This window comes from Homo sapiens, chromosome 3 (genome assembly GCF_000001405.40).
Source record: "Homo sapiens chromosome 3, GRCh38.p14 Primary Assembly".
In the NCBI taxonomy this organism is placed as follows: domain Eukaryota; kingdom Metazoa; phylum Chordata; class Mammalia; order Primates; family Hominidae; genus Homo; species Homo sapiens.
The window spans coordinates 50,245,284-50,259,390 of NC_000003.12; the positions used below are offsets into that span (position 1 = coordinate 50,245,284).

General features: G+C 57.6%; 1 protein-coding gene across 7 annotated transcripts in view, besides 4 other annotated features; it reads left to right on the plus strand.

Annotated features, from left to right (window-relative positions):
- The window catches only part of GNAI2 (G protein subunit alpha i2), a 32,295-nt gene extending 18,216 nt beyond the window's left edge, over positions 1 to 14,079 (plus strand). For 4 of the 7 annotated variants that reach the window (XM_047447979.1, NM_001282620.2, NM_001282617.2 and 1 more), the window contains 8 exons: positions 6,817 to 6,859; positions 7,114 to 7,255; positions 7,741 to 7,901; positions 10,909 to 11,037; positions 11,440 to 11,569; positions 11,654 to 11,807; positions 12,217 to 12,431; positions 13,085 to 14,079. In XM_047447979.1, the coding sequence (XP_047303935.1) occupies positions 6,817 to 6,859; positions 7,114 to 7,255; positions 7,741 to 7,901; positions 10,909 to 11,037; positions 11,440 to 11,569; positions 11,654 to 11,807; positions 12,217 to 12,407 (950 nt within the window). In that variant the 3' untranslated portion in view covers positions 12,408 to 12,431; positions 13,085 to 14,079. Of the gene's footprint in view, positions 1 to 1,626; positions 1,793 to 6,336; positions 6,461 to 6,816; positions 6,860 to 7,113; positions 7,256 to 7,740; positions 7,902 to 10,908; positions 11,038 to 11,439; positions 11,570 to 11,653; positions 11,808 to 12,216; positions 12,432 to 13,084 lie in introns of those variants that run through there. The other 3 variants (NM_001282619.2, NM_001166425.2, NM_001282618.2) reach the window with 3 other exon arrangements.
- Positions 356 to 1,071: an enhancer, noted in NCBI's record as "H3K27ac-H3K4me1 hESC enhancer chr3:50283071-50283786 (GRCh37/hg19 assembly coordinates)". NCBI's record gives its function as "activates a minimal SCP1, AML or CMV promoter by ChIP-STARR-seq in primed H9 embryonic stem cells {active_cell/tissue: H9 hESC(primed)}" and the evidence as "EXISTENCE:reporter gene assay evidence [ECO:0000049][PMID:30033119]".
- Positions 804 to 903: an enhancer, noted in NCBI's record as "active region_19895". NCBI's record gives its function as "activates an Ori minimal core promoter by ATAC-STARR-seq in GM12878 lymphoblastoid cells {active_cell/tissue: GM12878}" and the evidence as "EXISTENCE:reporter gene assay evidence [ECO:0000049][PMID:35858748]".
- Positions 1,072 to 1,787: an enhancer, noted in NCBI's record as "H3K27ac-H3K4me1 hESC enhancer chr3:50283787-50284502 (GRCh37/hg19 assembly coordinates)". NCBI's record gives its function as "activates a minimal SCP1, AML or CMV promoter by ChIP-STARR-seq in naive H9 embryonic stem cells {active_cell/tissue: H9 hESC(naive)}" and the evidence as "EXISTENCE:reporter gene assay evidence [ECO:0000049][PMID:30033119]".
- Positions 11,904 to 11,953: a silencer, noted in NCBI's record as "silent region_14388". NCBI's record gives its function as "represses an Ori minimal core promoter by ATAC-STARR-seq in GM12878 lymphoblastoid cells {active_cell/tissue: GM12878}" and the evidence as "EXISTENCE:reporter gene assay evidence [ECO:0000049][PMID:35858748]".

The window sequence follows — 14,107 nt, forward strand, 5'->3', positions numbered from 1 at the left end:
CACCCCGCCCCGCCAGTGCCGTGATTCTTAGCATGGTCTCCTGGCCTGTGGACACAAGGACAGCTGCTGGCTTGGGTTGGGCCCTGAGGCAGTTTGGGGTGACTTTGAAGAGGCTACTCAGGGCAGGCCTTGGGTTTGGCACCCTCCCTCAAGGGGTACATTTCATAGATGAGGCCTAGGCTCCCGTTATCTTTCCCAGAGTCCACCGCCATGAATCAGAAGGGAAAAGAGGTCATTCAGGTGCCTTGGGAACAGCGGAGGGATGCCTGAAATGAAGAGGCCTCCAGGGAGACGGTGCCAAATGGCCCAGCTCCGCGTGATCCGCGTCTTGTCCAGCACCTCCTGGCTCCTGCACAGGCGGTACCTGGGGCCTGAGGCGCCAGCGATGAACAGGTCTGGGGCCTCCTTTATATCAGGCCAGCCTTCCTCACCCGGTGCCTGAGTTTCCCTCTGTGCAGTGGAAAGGGCCCCACTGAGGGAGACACACCTTGCCCCAGAAAGACTTTCCCATGTGTGGGCAGGACCTGAGGCCTCAGTTTCCCTAACACAGAGATCTCTGACTTGGCAGTAGGAAGCCAGGCCCTGCTTGGTAGTGCTCCCCTTTGGGCACTGTGAACCCCTGGAAGCCGCTGGAGGCAGCCGAGTGCCAGAGACTGGCGGGAGGGAGGTGTGGAGTCTGTTGGTCTGTTCAGGCATCCGTTATAGGGCCATGCCACACACATGGGTGGGAGTGTTGCCGGTCCCTTTCAAGACCTCGAGTCCCTGCCTCCCAGTGCCGGACCCGTGCTGAGCCTTCTCGGAGGGAATGAGGGGGGCCGGGGAGCAGCACCTGGAGGAAGGAAGAGACGCCAGGGGCGGGGCTCAGAGGGCCTTTGTCTGGCGGGGTCTCTGCCCCTCCCTCCCGTTGCCATGGTTTCTGTGTGTGCCGAGTCTCTGCAGGCTGGGGGCTTCCCAGGGACGGGCTGGTGGGTGGGACACCTTCCCCAGTCGCCCCTGGCTGAGGCTGCTTTTCTGAAACAAAACGCTCCCCAGTGCTGCCCAGCCCCCACTTCCTTCCACAGTGTCTCCGGCTGCCGGGCGCCCCCTGGTGGTGGCGGGGCATGGGTCCCTAGGACTGCAGGGGACGTGGGGGTGCACGGGATCTGAGAACCACAGGCTGAGCTGGAGATGTGGCACCTTCCTGGGATAAGAGAAGGAGGTGGTGTCCGGGCTGCCTTTGTGGTGGGCTCAGGGCTACCCCCACCTGCCCCACCATATCCCACTGGGATAGGCTGGGGAGTTGTGGCAGTGTGGGCGGGCCTGGTGTTGTGGGTTTGAGCTGGGCCGCTGCCCAAGTCTACCCTGTGGTCCCAGCCGCTGCTGCTTCTGAGAATCTCTGCCCTCGGGCCTGCCACGTCAGCTGGCTGCTCTTCCTGGCCCCACGTGTTCCCACGGAGCCCACCAGTATGGGGGTTCTCTCCAGGGAGGTGTGCCTGGCTTTCTGGGTGTGTGCAGCCAGTGAGCAATGTCAGCAGTGAGGCTCCTGGGCAGGAAGGAGGCCCCAGCTGTGTAGGAGTGCCGGGTTATACTGAAGGGAAGTGACGACACAGCGGAAAGCCAACAGAGGAGCCAGTAGCTCTGACTCCTGTCCCAGGTTATGCTGAGTCCCAGCAGGGAACCACCACAGCTCTGAATCAGCCTGTTAGCCGCTGTCCATTGCTCTTCATCTGCTCTTTATCTGAAAATCTTCAGAAGCTTTCCTTCAAATGAGATGACCACAGCAGTCTTCTCTGCAGGTTGCAGGAAATGAGAGGTTTGGGGAAATCTGTACTCTTTCAAAGGGTAGATAAATAGTGATAACTTTTACCTGAATGCTCACATGTGCCCCACACTGTGAGAAGAGCTTTGCATTTAATCCTTACCCATCTCTCAGAAGGAGACAGCGTTGTCCCATTTCACAGATGAGGTGCCAGAGAAAGGGCAGGAAAGGAGCTGAAGCTCTTGAGGATCTCAGGAAGGATCAGAGTGGACATCAGGGCTGTGGCAAGTCTGGACCTCCTTCTGGGAGAGGATCTGAAAATGGGAGGCAGGCTGGCTGGCTGCTTGAGGCTTGACAGCTCTGCCCAGGGGAAACTGAAGCCAGAAAGGATAGTAGCAAGTCCCAGCCTCCCAGCAGATCAAAGCCTATTAAGGAGTTAGAGGGTCCAAGATGAACAGATGCTGTGACTTGAATGCTGGGGCCTGGACTAAGCATCAAGTGACAAGACCTGTGGGCCTGTCTCTCCTGCTGCAGGGGCCCTGCTGGTCTTGTTCACGCAGGTGGAGTGGTACTGTCTCCCTTCTCTCATCGGTTCCCTCCTCTGGGGCTCAGCACTCCCAAAGTGGAAGCAGATGTTCTAGTGCAGAGCAGCTGCCACCACCCAGCACATCACTATGATTACTGCCTACCTGCTGTGGGCCCTAACTGCGCCACAGGGCAAAGGCTGCAGAGGTTTCTTCCTTGGTGGGAAGAGGTGTGACTCAGTGGGAATGCCAAGGCCACCCCAGGGAACCTCTGCAGGCCTCTCTGGTCTTACCCAGCTGGGGACAGAGCACTTGGTGGGGCCCTCTGCGGGCAGGAGGGGCTGATTCATGCCACCTTCTATTGCCTCAGTTCCCCTACCCAGCATCTTTGCAGAAATCTGGACTCAGGCTGGACGCGGTGGCTCACGCCTGTAATCCCAGCACTTTGGGAGGCCAAAGCAGGTGGATCACTTGAGGTCAGGAGTTCGAGACCAGCCTGGCCAACATGGTGAAACCCTGTCTCTACTAAAAATACAAAAATTAGCCGGGCGTGGTGGCACATGCCTGTAGTCCCAGCTACTGGGGAGGCTGAGGCAGGAGAATTGCTTGAACCGGGAGGCAGAGGTTGAACCGGGAGGCAAAGGTTGCAGTGAGCCAAGATCATGCTATTGCACTCCAGCCTGAGCAACAGAGCGAGACTGTGTTTCAAAAAAAAAATCTGGACTCAGCCACCCCTCTGAGAGGCAGGTGCGAGGGGAGCTGGGTGTGTGCAAAACTCACAGATAAGCCTCTTGCCAGCTTATCTGGTAGGGGGCATCCCTCAGGTCCTGATGGAAAGAGGACCCAGCCAGAGATGGGGAGAGTGAAGCTACTACCCCACAGCTGCCAGGGCACTTAGCCTGTGGGCTGCCCGAGAGCTCTTCACCCCACCCATTCCACCCAGATGCCATCCTGGGGCTCCACCCACCTCTGCTCCTGTCCCCCTTCTCTGCTGGAGCTGCTCCTGGGCTGTGCCCCTGCCTCTGTCCCGTTGTTCCCCCTGCTTCCTGCCTGGCTGCCAGCACCACACCCTTGTCCTGCCACTCACTACTTCCCGCCTGAGTCACAGCTGCTGGAAAGACAAAGAGACCAGCCTGAGTCTAGGGATAGGGGCTCCATGACCTTGATTTGCTTACCTGTCAAGTGGAACTCTTTTTTCAGTGACCCCTGCTTGGGATAGAGAATGTTCTCTTAACATTTAAGAGGCCTTAGGAGGGGAAAATGAAACTTGAAGGGGACAGGGAAGTGGGCCCTCCCTGGCTGGGGCAGGGAGCAGATATCCTGGCTCCTAGTGTGACTGGCTCTGTGCTGCCTACCTCATGTCTACCAGGTCTAGCTGCTGCTAGGAAAATCAGATGCAAAGCAAGTTTGCACCCTCGTCCCTGGGCAGGGTCACGAAGCGGCCCACATCACCTACTAAGAGTGGGCAAAAGGCCAGACCCCCTCTTCACTCTCAGTGGCCAGATAGGGAAACTGATGCCTCAAGTGGGCAGGAGTCCCGAAGTCACACAAGATGGGGAAGCTTTCACCCTAGACCTCAGGTCCCCCATGCCCTGGGTAGCTTCCCTGCTGAGTCTGAGCTCGCCTGGCTCGGGACTGCATGGGGACCCATGACTTCGCATCCTTGGCCTCTGCTCCTGCAGTTCCCCCCATCCTGGCTGTGACTGGCTCCTGGTTCTTCCTCCTGCTCTGGAGGAGCCAGTGGGGAAGACAGTCAGGTAGCCACTGCTGCCCTCCCTGCCCCAGTGGGTGCTTTGAGCCCCAGGGGGATGGGCCTTAAGTGTTCAGGCATCGCTGTGAGGCTTTCCTGGGACCTTTCCCCATGTCCTCATTGGCAGGTGGAGGAGTGTTGGTATGCAGATCCTGGCTGCCCCTTTGCCATGCACAGCCCAATGGGGAGGGAGTGGTGCTGGTATATATCCCGGTACACACCCCAGTGAAGATACTGGGCCCGGCCCCTGTAGTGCCCAGGGGCTAAAGCAATAGAGGGGATTGCTGCCCCAGCCACAGCGCCCCAGCCTTCCCAGGGCCTGCACATTTGTATGTCCACAAGATTGTGCAACCATCACTGCTATCTAATTCCAGAACATAATCACCACCCTCAAAAATAAACTTCATACCCAACTAGCTGTCACTCCCCATCTCCCCAGATCCCCTCCCCTCATCCTGGAAAGCAGGCCTGGGACAGTCAGAAGCTCAGTGATTGCAGGCGCCTGATGGCATTTGTGAGGAGGGCTCAGGCCTTTCCCCTCAGGGTGGTCTCTGGCGTAGGGGGCTGAAGGTGGGCAGGGGCCTTGGCAAGGCCTGCCACCATGTCCCAATGCCTGCTGCCGCTTGTTGAGCACTGCAGACATGGCCCAGAGTCTGCCTGGGGAGCTAGGGAGTGAACCCAGTGCCAGGTGGACTGTGTGGCTCCGCTGCAGTACCAGGTACTTAGGACAGCTCTAGGAGGGACTGCACGGTGGGCAAGTGTGCTCCCTGCAGAGGGGACTCTAACCCTGTGACCTCAGCCTCCCTGGACCTCAGTTCCTTCACTGGTTAGATTGGGGTGAGAATGGAACCTACCTCCCAGGATTGCTGTGGAGATGGCAGTTGGTGGGTGTCATTGATGTAGAGCAGCATCTGGCACATGGTGGGCGCTGTTTTCATATAGCTTTGCTGTCGATATTGCCGATGTTATTGTTACTGCTTGTGTTCGTTTGTGTGTTAGCACCTTCATCCTCTGAGGTTGTTTTGACCAGCCCCAAGGGATGCTGTTGAGCTTGGCCAGAGTACCCAAGTTTGACCTCTGCACAGACCTTACTACCCACCCAGCTAAGCTGCACAGAGGAACAAACGTGCCACAGTGATCAGAATTGGGACACTGTGAATGGGGCATGGGGCACGTATTCCCGGCAAAGAGAACAGCATGAGCAGGGCCCTGGAGATAGCTAGAGGTAGTGCCTGGCAGCTGCAGGTGTGACTGGCAGTGATGGAGCAGGAGCACAGGGTCTGGGAAGGACAGCAGGGCCCAGCTGGGGGCCATTCAACCTGGAGCTCAAGACAAGCCAGCAGCAAGGGAGCAAGGTCAAGGTGAGGCCCTGCCTCCACTCCCTCTGGCCCCCAGCCAGGGAGTTGGGTGGCCCCCCTGGTCCTTCTTTACACAGACTCCCTGGGTAATACAGGCTCCTGGGCTGCACTCCTCAAGATCTGGCTCTGTTGTCTGGGATGGGACCTGGGAGTCTGCTTTTTTTTTTTTTTTTTAGACCAAGTTTCGCTCTTGTTGCCCAGGCTGGAGCGCAATGGCACAATCTCGGCTCACTGCAACCTCCACCTCCCAGGTTCAAGCGATTCTTCTGCCTCAGCCTCCCGAGCCGCTGGGATTACAGGCACCTGCCACCACGCCTGGCTAGTTTTTGTTATTTTTAGAAGAGATGGGGTTTCAACATGTTGGCCAGGCTGGTCTCGAACTCCTGACCTCAGGTGATCCACCTGCCTCAGCCTCCCAAAGTGCTGGGATTACAGGCATGAGCCACCACTCCCGGCGGAATCTGCTTTTTTAAACACCTCCCCAAGGCATTGTCCCGCAGGGTCTCAGCCACATTTTGAGAATGGCAGGGTGGACCAGGCATCATGGGTTCCCTCCACCCTCTTGCCCTTCTGAGTCCTGGCTACATGATCTTAGATCAATACTTTATTTTTCTGAGCCTCAATGTCCTCATCTGTAGAATGGGAACAGAAACAGTATCTGCTGTGACTAATACAGGAGAGAATGCAGCAAATCTCAGTACCAGCTAAAGAGAAATATGGGCCAGGGCTGTACCAGGCCAGGGAAAAGCTTGAGTCAGTATGGGCGTGTGTGGGTGTGGGTGTGTGAGATACGCCGCAGGTCTCCCAGATTCATGAGTCAGTACGCGTGTGTGTTACACTGTAGGTCTCCTAGATTCTAGCCTTCTAGCCTCCATCTGCTCAGGGCAGACCTGAGCGCAGTGAGCAGAGGGCGGGGCATTGGGCCATGTCCAGAAAGCTGAAGTGTGACGCTGTGCTCCTGCTTAGGCCCCTGGTTGCTAAGGCTCAGTGTGGGGAGAAGAAGGGCTGCTACCCTGTTGGATGGAGTATGCAGGGCATCTTCCTGCCAGCTCTGCCCAGGGCACCATATTGGCATGCACCAGCTGCACAGGTTGGCGAGCCTATGTATGTGAGAACAGGGTGGCTCCTTCATGGCTGGCCAAGTCTCCAGCCAAGACCCCCCAGGACAGTGGGGAGCCATGGTGGGCAGCAGAGCTTGTGGGAGGCAAAGGCCTGCAGAGAGTCTGCCATGGGGCACAGGTGCTCTAGGTTACCTTGACCACTGTGGCCCTGCCAGCTGCATTCCTGGTAGCTCAACTGCCCACCAGGCCCAGCTGCCTCCATCTCACGGTGCAGCTGGTGGGAAGGTTAGTTCTGCCTCCTGGGCTACAGGTGTCTGGGCATTTGTTCTGTGCCTGTGGAGCCCCTCTGGGCCTGCCCCCTGACCACCTGTGCCCTCTGTTCCAGGTGCTGGGGAGTCAGGGAAGAGCACCATCGTCAAGCAGATGAAGTAAGTGCTGTATTCCAGAGGCAGTGCTCAAACTCCAGCTTCCCCTCTTCACCCTCTGGGCCTGCACTGCCCCCGACTACAGGCCCAGCCAGTCTTAGCCAGGCCCAGAATCTTCTGAGAAGCAGAAGGACCCTCAGGTCCCAGTGGGTCAGGGGCAGTTTTCCCTTCTCTGAAGCAGGTCCCAGTAGCCCCAGGCAGCCGTGGGAACTCCCAGTGCCCAGGGGACACTAACCTTCCTGGTCCCTGGCTATCAGGATCATCCACGAGGATGGCTACTCCGAGGAGGAATGCCGGCAGTACCGGGCGGTTGTCTACAGCAACACCATCCAGTCCATCATGGCCATTGTCAAAGCCATGGGCAACCTGCAGATCGACTTTGCCGACCCCTCCAGAGCGGTATGTGCCCTCCGCCCCACCCTCTCCCACCTCCCAAAAGGTTTCGGGGTGGCTGGTTGTGGTGGCTCATGCCTATAAATCCCAGCACTTTGGGACGCCGAGGCGGGTGGATCACCTGAGGTCAGGACCAGCCTGGCCAACTTGGTGAAACCGCGTCTCTACTAAAAATACAAAAATTAGCCGAGCATGGTGGCACGTGCCTGTAATCCCAGCTACTTGGGAGGCTGAAGCAGGAGAATTGCTTGAACCCGGGAGGCAGAGGATGCAGTGAGCCAAGATCGCCCCATTGCACTCTAGCCTTGGTGACAGAGCTAGACTCCGTCACAGAAAAAAGTAAACAACAACAACAAAAAGGTTTTAGGGCAAGTCTCATCCTAGGGAATCCAAGAATACCCTAGCCTGGGCCCCATTCCAGAGGTCTCCCTGCCTCTGGCAGAGTGGGGGTACATTCCTTCAACTGCCTGACCACCCGCCACTGTGCCCAGGACGACGCCAGGCAGCTATTTGCACTGTCCTGCACCGCCGAGGAGCAAGGCGTGCTCCCTGATGACCTGTCCGGCGTCATCCGGAGGCTCTGGGCTGACCATGGTGTGCAGGCCTGCTTTGGCCGCTCAAGGGAATACCAGCTCAACGACTCAGCTGCCTAGTGAGTGCTCTGAGGGGCTGGGCAGGGCAGGGCAGGGGCTGGGGGAGGACTAAAGGCTGGACCGGAGGGCCTGAGAACCCCCAGAAGGACACTGCTGGTCTTTGCTTATGAAACCGATGACTGTTAACCAAGGCCTTCCTGTTTTTTGGTTTGGGGGGTGGGTGGGTGTCACGTTACTGAAAGGCCAGGAGGAATGACAGGCAGGTGGCTTATACAGTACATCTCTTCCAGGCCAGTTGAGTCTGATCTGTCTTGACAGTCTTCTAAAGAACATTTGCGGCCGGGCGTGGTGGCTCACGCCTGTAATCCCAGCACTTTGGGAGGCTGAGACAGGCGGGTCGTGAGATCAGGAGATCGAGACCATCCTGGCTAACACGGTGAAACCCCGTCTCTACTAAAAATACAAAAAATTAGCCGGGCGTGGTGGAGGGCGCCTGTAGTCCCAGCTACTCAGGAGGCTGAGGCAGGAGAATGGCGTGAACCTGGGAGGTGGAGCTTGCAGTGAGCGGAGATTGCGCCACTGCACTCTAGCTTGGGTGACAGAGCAAGACTCAGAACATTTGCTGCCACCTGTTCTGTGCCAGGCTTCAAGGACACAGTGATGAGTGGAGCAAAGTCCCCATGCAGTGACAATTTAGGGTGTTAGTGAAAAGGTAGAGGTGGAGTTGGCCCAGAGACAGGATTGCTGAGCTCTGAAGGAGAGTCAGCCAGGGGAGGAGTGGATGAGGGGATTCCAGGCAGGGGCATAGCATGTGCAGCATCTCGGGGTGGTGGGGAGCTGGCTGTGCTTGAACATAGGCTGTGGAGGCTGGCTGGAGGGGGCCACAGGGGAGGAAGTTATCTGGGAGGTGACAGGTGTGTGTGTAGGTCAGAGCCCCTGGACCTCAGCTGTGACCCTCGCTGGCCCTAGGCTGAGGAATTACAAGGGGTCCCAGGAATCCCAGAGGCATGACAAGCCTGCACCCTTTCCACAGTTCTGAACTCCTTCCCTGTGGTATCTGTCATGTACTTGGACTGGTGCAGGGTGCTGAGGACCCCACGGGGAACAGGATAGACAGGCTAATAGCCATTGAGGATGGCTGCAGGGGACATCCACAGGCTTTGGATGGTGTCACCAGATAGGCTGCTGTCCCTGTACTCTAGCCTTCCCCTATCTCTGCTTAAGCCAGTCCCCTCTGACTGGAACACCCTTTTGCTCCTATTGTTCATCCAATCCTGAGCCTACCCATAGGGTGGATTTCAGCAAGGGTGGGTGGGAGGAGGAGGAGGGTCTTGCCTGGCTGTGATTCCTGAGCCCTGTCCAAGCCACATGAACAGCCTCCTCCTACCCTTCTTACATGGCCTGAATGCTCTTGTGAATATGTACCCCCTACAGGAGCTGTGGAGTCACAGCCAAATGCTGTGGGGGCCCCCAGGCCTCACCACTGCCCCTCCCTGAGATCTCTGGCCCAGCCACCAGCGAGCTTGGGGTCAGAGCAGCAGGGACCTTGGTGCCCATGATACTCAAAGGAAGCAGGAATAGAGCCACCTCCAGGCCACCTCCTGCTTCTCCATCATCCTCTTTCTCTATTCTCCAGACATTAGGCACCCACTGTGTGCCCAGCACAGTTTTGGGAGTGAATACAGGCCCTGTTCTCCCAGTCAGGTTTAAGCCTTGATAGCTCCCCCTGGGAATGGGTTGCGGATTGGAACACCACAGGAAGCAGGGCTCCTTCAGCCCCTCTTCGCAGCAACCCTCCAAGTGTGCAGCGAGTCAGGGGGTCCCTGGGGCGAACCCACCTGTTGGGGAAAAGGGAGAGGCTGGTGTGGAATGCACCATGGTACCTCCACATTGAGGACTCTGGCAGTAGGGGGCGGGGCATGGTATGCGGGTCACAGCACATGCGTCATCCTTCCCCATGGCCCTTCCTGTTTTTCTGTTTTGTCCCTGCTACTCTGAGATCATTTCCCTCTGGCCTGGTTTGGCCTGGGTGCTGGTGGGAGCCAAGGGCCAGCCCCAGCAGCCTTGCCCCAGGAATGAAAAGTCAGCTCTGGGCAGCAGCCTGGAGGCCTGGGACCAGCCTCCAGGGCATGGCAGGGATATTGAGGCAGGCAGCAGAGGCAGGCCCTGCAGGGGTAGCCTTGATACTAATTAAGGGAACTGGTAATGAGGAGCCCCTGGGACCCCTGCCAAGCAGGTGTCTGTGCCCTCCCCCTGAGGAACCCAGATTTCATTGGGCGCTGGGCAAAGAGCCCACTGGACCTGGCAGGCCCCAACCTGTCCAGCACCACATCGAGGGACCGCACCCGGCTGCTCTGCGGCTAATGCCGTAATTGCGCCCATTAGCATCCTGAATCCTTCACCGAAGGACTAATTTGCCTCCTCCCACCCTCTTTGCCTATAGCTCCAACATCCTGGATCCTGTCCGAGGCAGGTCTGGCTCAGACCCTGGGTGCTGGAGCTTGGCTGGCTAGCTGTCCACAGAGCTGCACCTCCTCCCATTCCCATTCTACAGGTGGGAGGCCGGGGGCTCTGAGTTCAGGTTTCTTCATTTGAGCAATGAGGTAATGCAGGCAGGGGTTAAAGAAACAAGGGCTGTGCCTAGGCCAGGCGCAGTGGCTCACGCCTGTAATCCCAGCACTCTGGGAGGCCGAGGTGGGCGGATCACCTGAGGTTGAGAGGTCAAGACCATCCTGGCCAACATGGTGAAACCCCGTCTCTACTAAAAATACAAAAATTAGCTGGGCGGCAGGCGCCTGTAGTCCCAGCTACTCAGGAGGCTGAGGCAGGAGAATCGCTTGAACCTGGCAGGCAGAGGTTGCAGTGAGCCAAGATCATGCCACTGCACTCCAGCCTGGCAACAGAGTAACACTCTGTCTCAAAAAAAAAAAAAAAAAAAAAAAAAAAAAGCAAGGGCTGTGCTTGAGAAATGGCATGGGAGGGAAGGGGCCTCTTGCAGCTGGCCCAGGGTCCAGCTAAGGAAGCCCCATGCTGGCCCCCACTGACCCTCCCACCCCCCATCCCCAGCTACCTGAACGACCTGGAGCGTATTGCACAGAGTGACTACATCCCCACACAGCAAGATGTGCTACGGACCCGCGTAAAGACCACGGGGATCGTGGAGACACACTTCACCTTCAAGGACCTACACTTCAAGTGAGCGAGCATGTGGACAGGTGGGAGGGGCAGGACCTGCCAGCCTCTGGGGTAGCAGAGGCAGGGGCTGGTCCAGGATCCCCCAGCCCCACTGAGGTTTTACAAGGCTCATGTGTTCTGGGCAAGCACATCCTCACCACCTAGTGAACCAGCAGTCAGGATCCACGCCACCTCTGCCAGCTGCTCACAGCCTCTGCTGCTCCTGCCTGATGTGGCTGCAGCCTGCCTGCTGTCCAAGCTCCTGGCCCAGAACCAGGGGTGAAGTGGGCAAGTGTGGATGATTCCAGAAGGTAGCTGCCCTACTCTGGGCAGGCCTCTGTCCTCAGTCAGCCAACCTGAGAAATGGGGTAGAAAGCCTCCCCCAGGCTCCCTTCCTGGAACTAAGGTGATCTATATCTGCAGGATGTTTGATGTGGGTGGTCAGCGGTCTGAGCGGAAGAAGTGGATCCACTGCTTTGAGGGCGTCACAGCCATCATCTTCTGCGTAGCCTTGAGCGCCTATGACTTGGTGCTAGCTGAGGACGAGGAGATGGTGAGAGGATGAGAGAATGCTGCGGGTGGGGGCAGCGGGCTTGGGGAGTGGTGGCTAGCGTTGACCTTGCTATTCTACCCCCAGAACCGCATGCATGAGAGCATGAAGCTATTCGATAGCATCTGCAACAACAAGTGGTTCACAGACACGTCCATCATCCTCTTCCTCAACAAGAAGGACCTGTTTGAGGAGAAGATCACACACAGTCCCCTGACCATCTGCTTCCCTGAGTACACAGGTGTGGGGACTGTGGGGATAGGGCCTCCAGAGGGTTGCTTCTTGTCCCAAGTAGCCTATGGTGACCAGGTGGCCCTCAGGCGCCCCCCACTGGACAGAAGTGTAACCTTGGAACACTGGCAGGGGCTGGTGCCTCACTTAGGCTTGTATAGTTGTGTGTGCACACATGAAGCCCTTAACACACTCAAGCATGTACCCCTGAACATGTGTACATGGGCATCCTCCTTCACACAGTGGGGTACCCCTTTGCACATCTGGCATGTATGGGCAGCCACAAACATTGTCATATTATGCACATGCATGCACAGGTTGTATGCCTGGCCGTCCACACGCACAGACCCTTGCTGCACACGTAGGATGCGGCCTGCCTGCCACACATGCAGCACAAGTCTTCATTTTCTCTCCCCCAGGGGCCAACAAATATGATGAGGCAGCCAGCTACATCCAGAGTAAGTTTGAGGACCTGAATAAGCGCAAAGACACCAAGGAGATCTACACGCACTTCACGTGCGCCACCGACACCAAGAACGTGCAGTTCGTGTTTGACGCCGTCACCGATGTCATCATCAAGAACAACCTGAAGGACTGCGGCCTCTTCTGAGGGGCAGCGGGGCCTGGCGGGATGGTGAGCCAGAGGGGCTGTGGCAGGGTGCTGGGGAAGAACTAAGCGGGCCTGGAGCCCCAGCAGGGGGTTCTGGGGGTGGGTAGGGGGGTGAACCTGGAGGGGGAGGGGCAATAGGTGACCAGGGGACAAGGGAGGAGAAGGCCCAGGGTGTGAATCAGGAGGTCAAGTGAGTGAGGTGCAGGGCATGGAGGAGGTCATACAAGCAGGCCTGGCCCAGTGGTCCAGACAGAAGGGCCTGGCCTTGCCCTGGGACAGAACCAGAGGCCATCCTGATGTTCCCTGGAGAAATCTCACCTCCTCACCCACCAGGCCATTGGCCCAGCCTGCCGGAAGCTGCATGCCAGCGGAGCCCAGCCCTGCTGCCCACTACCACCAGCTCCATGTGCACCTCCAGCTCTTGCCCTCTGACTTGTCTGAGCGTCCCGGGCTTAGGCTGGCCCCACTGGCCCTGGTGGAGGTGGGGATGACTCTCCCAGTGCCACAGACTCCCCTCCCCCACGTAACCCAGCAACAGAAACTGGCTCCTGGGCGGCAACTGTGTCCCTGGTAACAAATGGGTAGGAAAAATAGAGAAGGGTCATTGTCTAGGGAGGCGGGAGAGAGGCACGCCCTGGCTGCTTCCCGATCCATGCTCTGCTTTCCCCCACCTCCAGGGCCACCGCCGACTTTGTACCCCCCAACCCCTGAGGAAGATGGGGGCAAGAAGATCACGCTCCCCGCCTGTTCCCCCGCCGCTTTTCTCCTCTTTCCTCTCTTTGTTCTCAGCTCCCCCTGTCCCCTCAGCTCCAGACGTAGGGGAGGGGTTGCCACAGGCCTCCCTGTTTGAAGCCTGCCCTTGTCTGAGATGCTGGTAATGGCCATGGTACCCCCTTCTGGGCATCTGTTCTGGTTTTTAACCATTGTCTTGTTCTGTGATGAGGGGAGGGGGGCACATGCTGAGTCTCCCAAGGCTGCGTCTGGAGGGGCCCCTGCTTCTCCAGCCTGGACCCCCAGCTTTGCCCAACACCAGCCCCTGCCCCAGCCCAAGTCCAAATGTTTACAGGGAGCCTCCTGCCCAGTCCCCCAACCCCAGCCGCTCGGAGGCCCCAAAGGAAAAAGCACAAGAAGCGTGAGACGCCACCATTCCTGGAAACCACAGTCCACCTGCTCATTCTCGTAGCTTTTTAAAAAAATGAAAGTAAAGGAAAAAAAAAAAACTGCAAATCTAGAAAACTTTTTAGAGAAAAACTATTTAAAACTGTCAGATCCTGACCAGCAAGCCCCCCCCCAGCCCCCCTTCCAAGTGACTCCGTGCCTTGAGTGTGTCTGCGTGTTTACACCCGTCCCTCTGCTGGCCGCCCCCGTGCGAGCGGCACCCCTGCCCTGCCCTCCACAGAATTGGGTTCCAAGGGCTGTTCCAGACAACTGCCAACGTCACTGAGGGCCCTGCCCCAGCGGCCCTGGCCCCAGGCTCTATTAACCTAAAATGTAGCTCCCTAGCGCTAACCTAGGAACCGCCGCTGCCTGCTGGGGGGCCACGCCCCTCATGCCCTTGTCCCAGGCCCGGGGCCTTCAGCGTTGAACACTTCCTTGCTTTTTTCACATGTTTTATGGAATTGTTCACCTGGTTTGAAATAATAAAATGTAGAAAGAAAAAAAATACCGAGAACTGATGGGTATTCTCTCCCAGGGGCAGA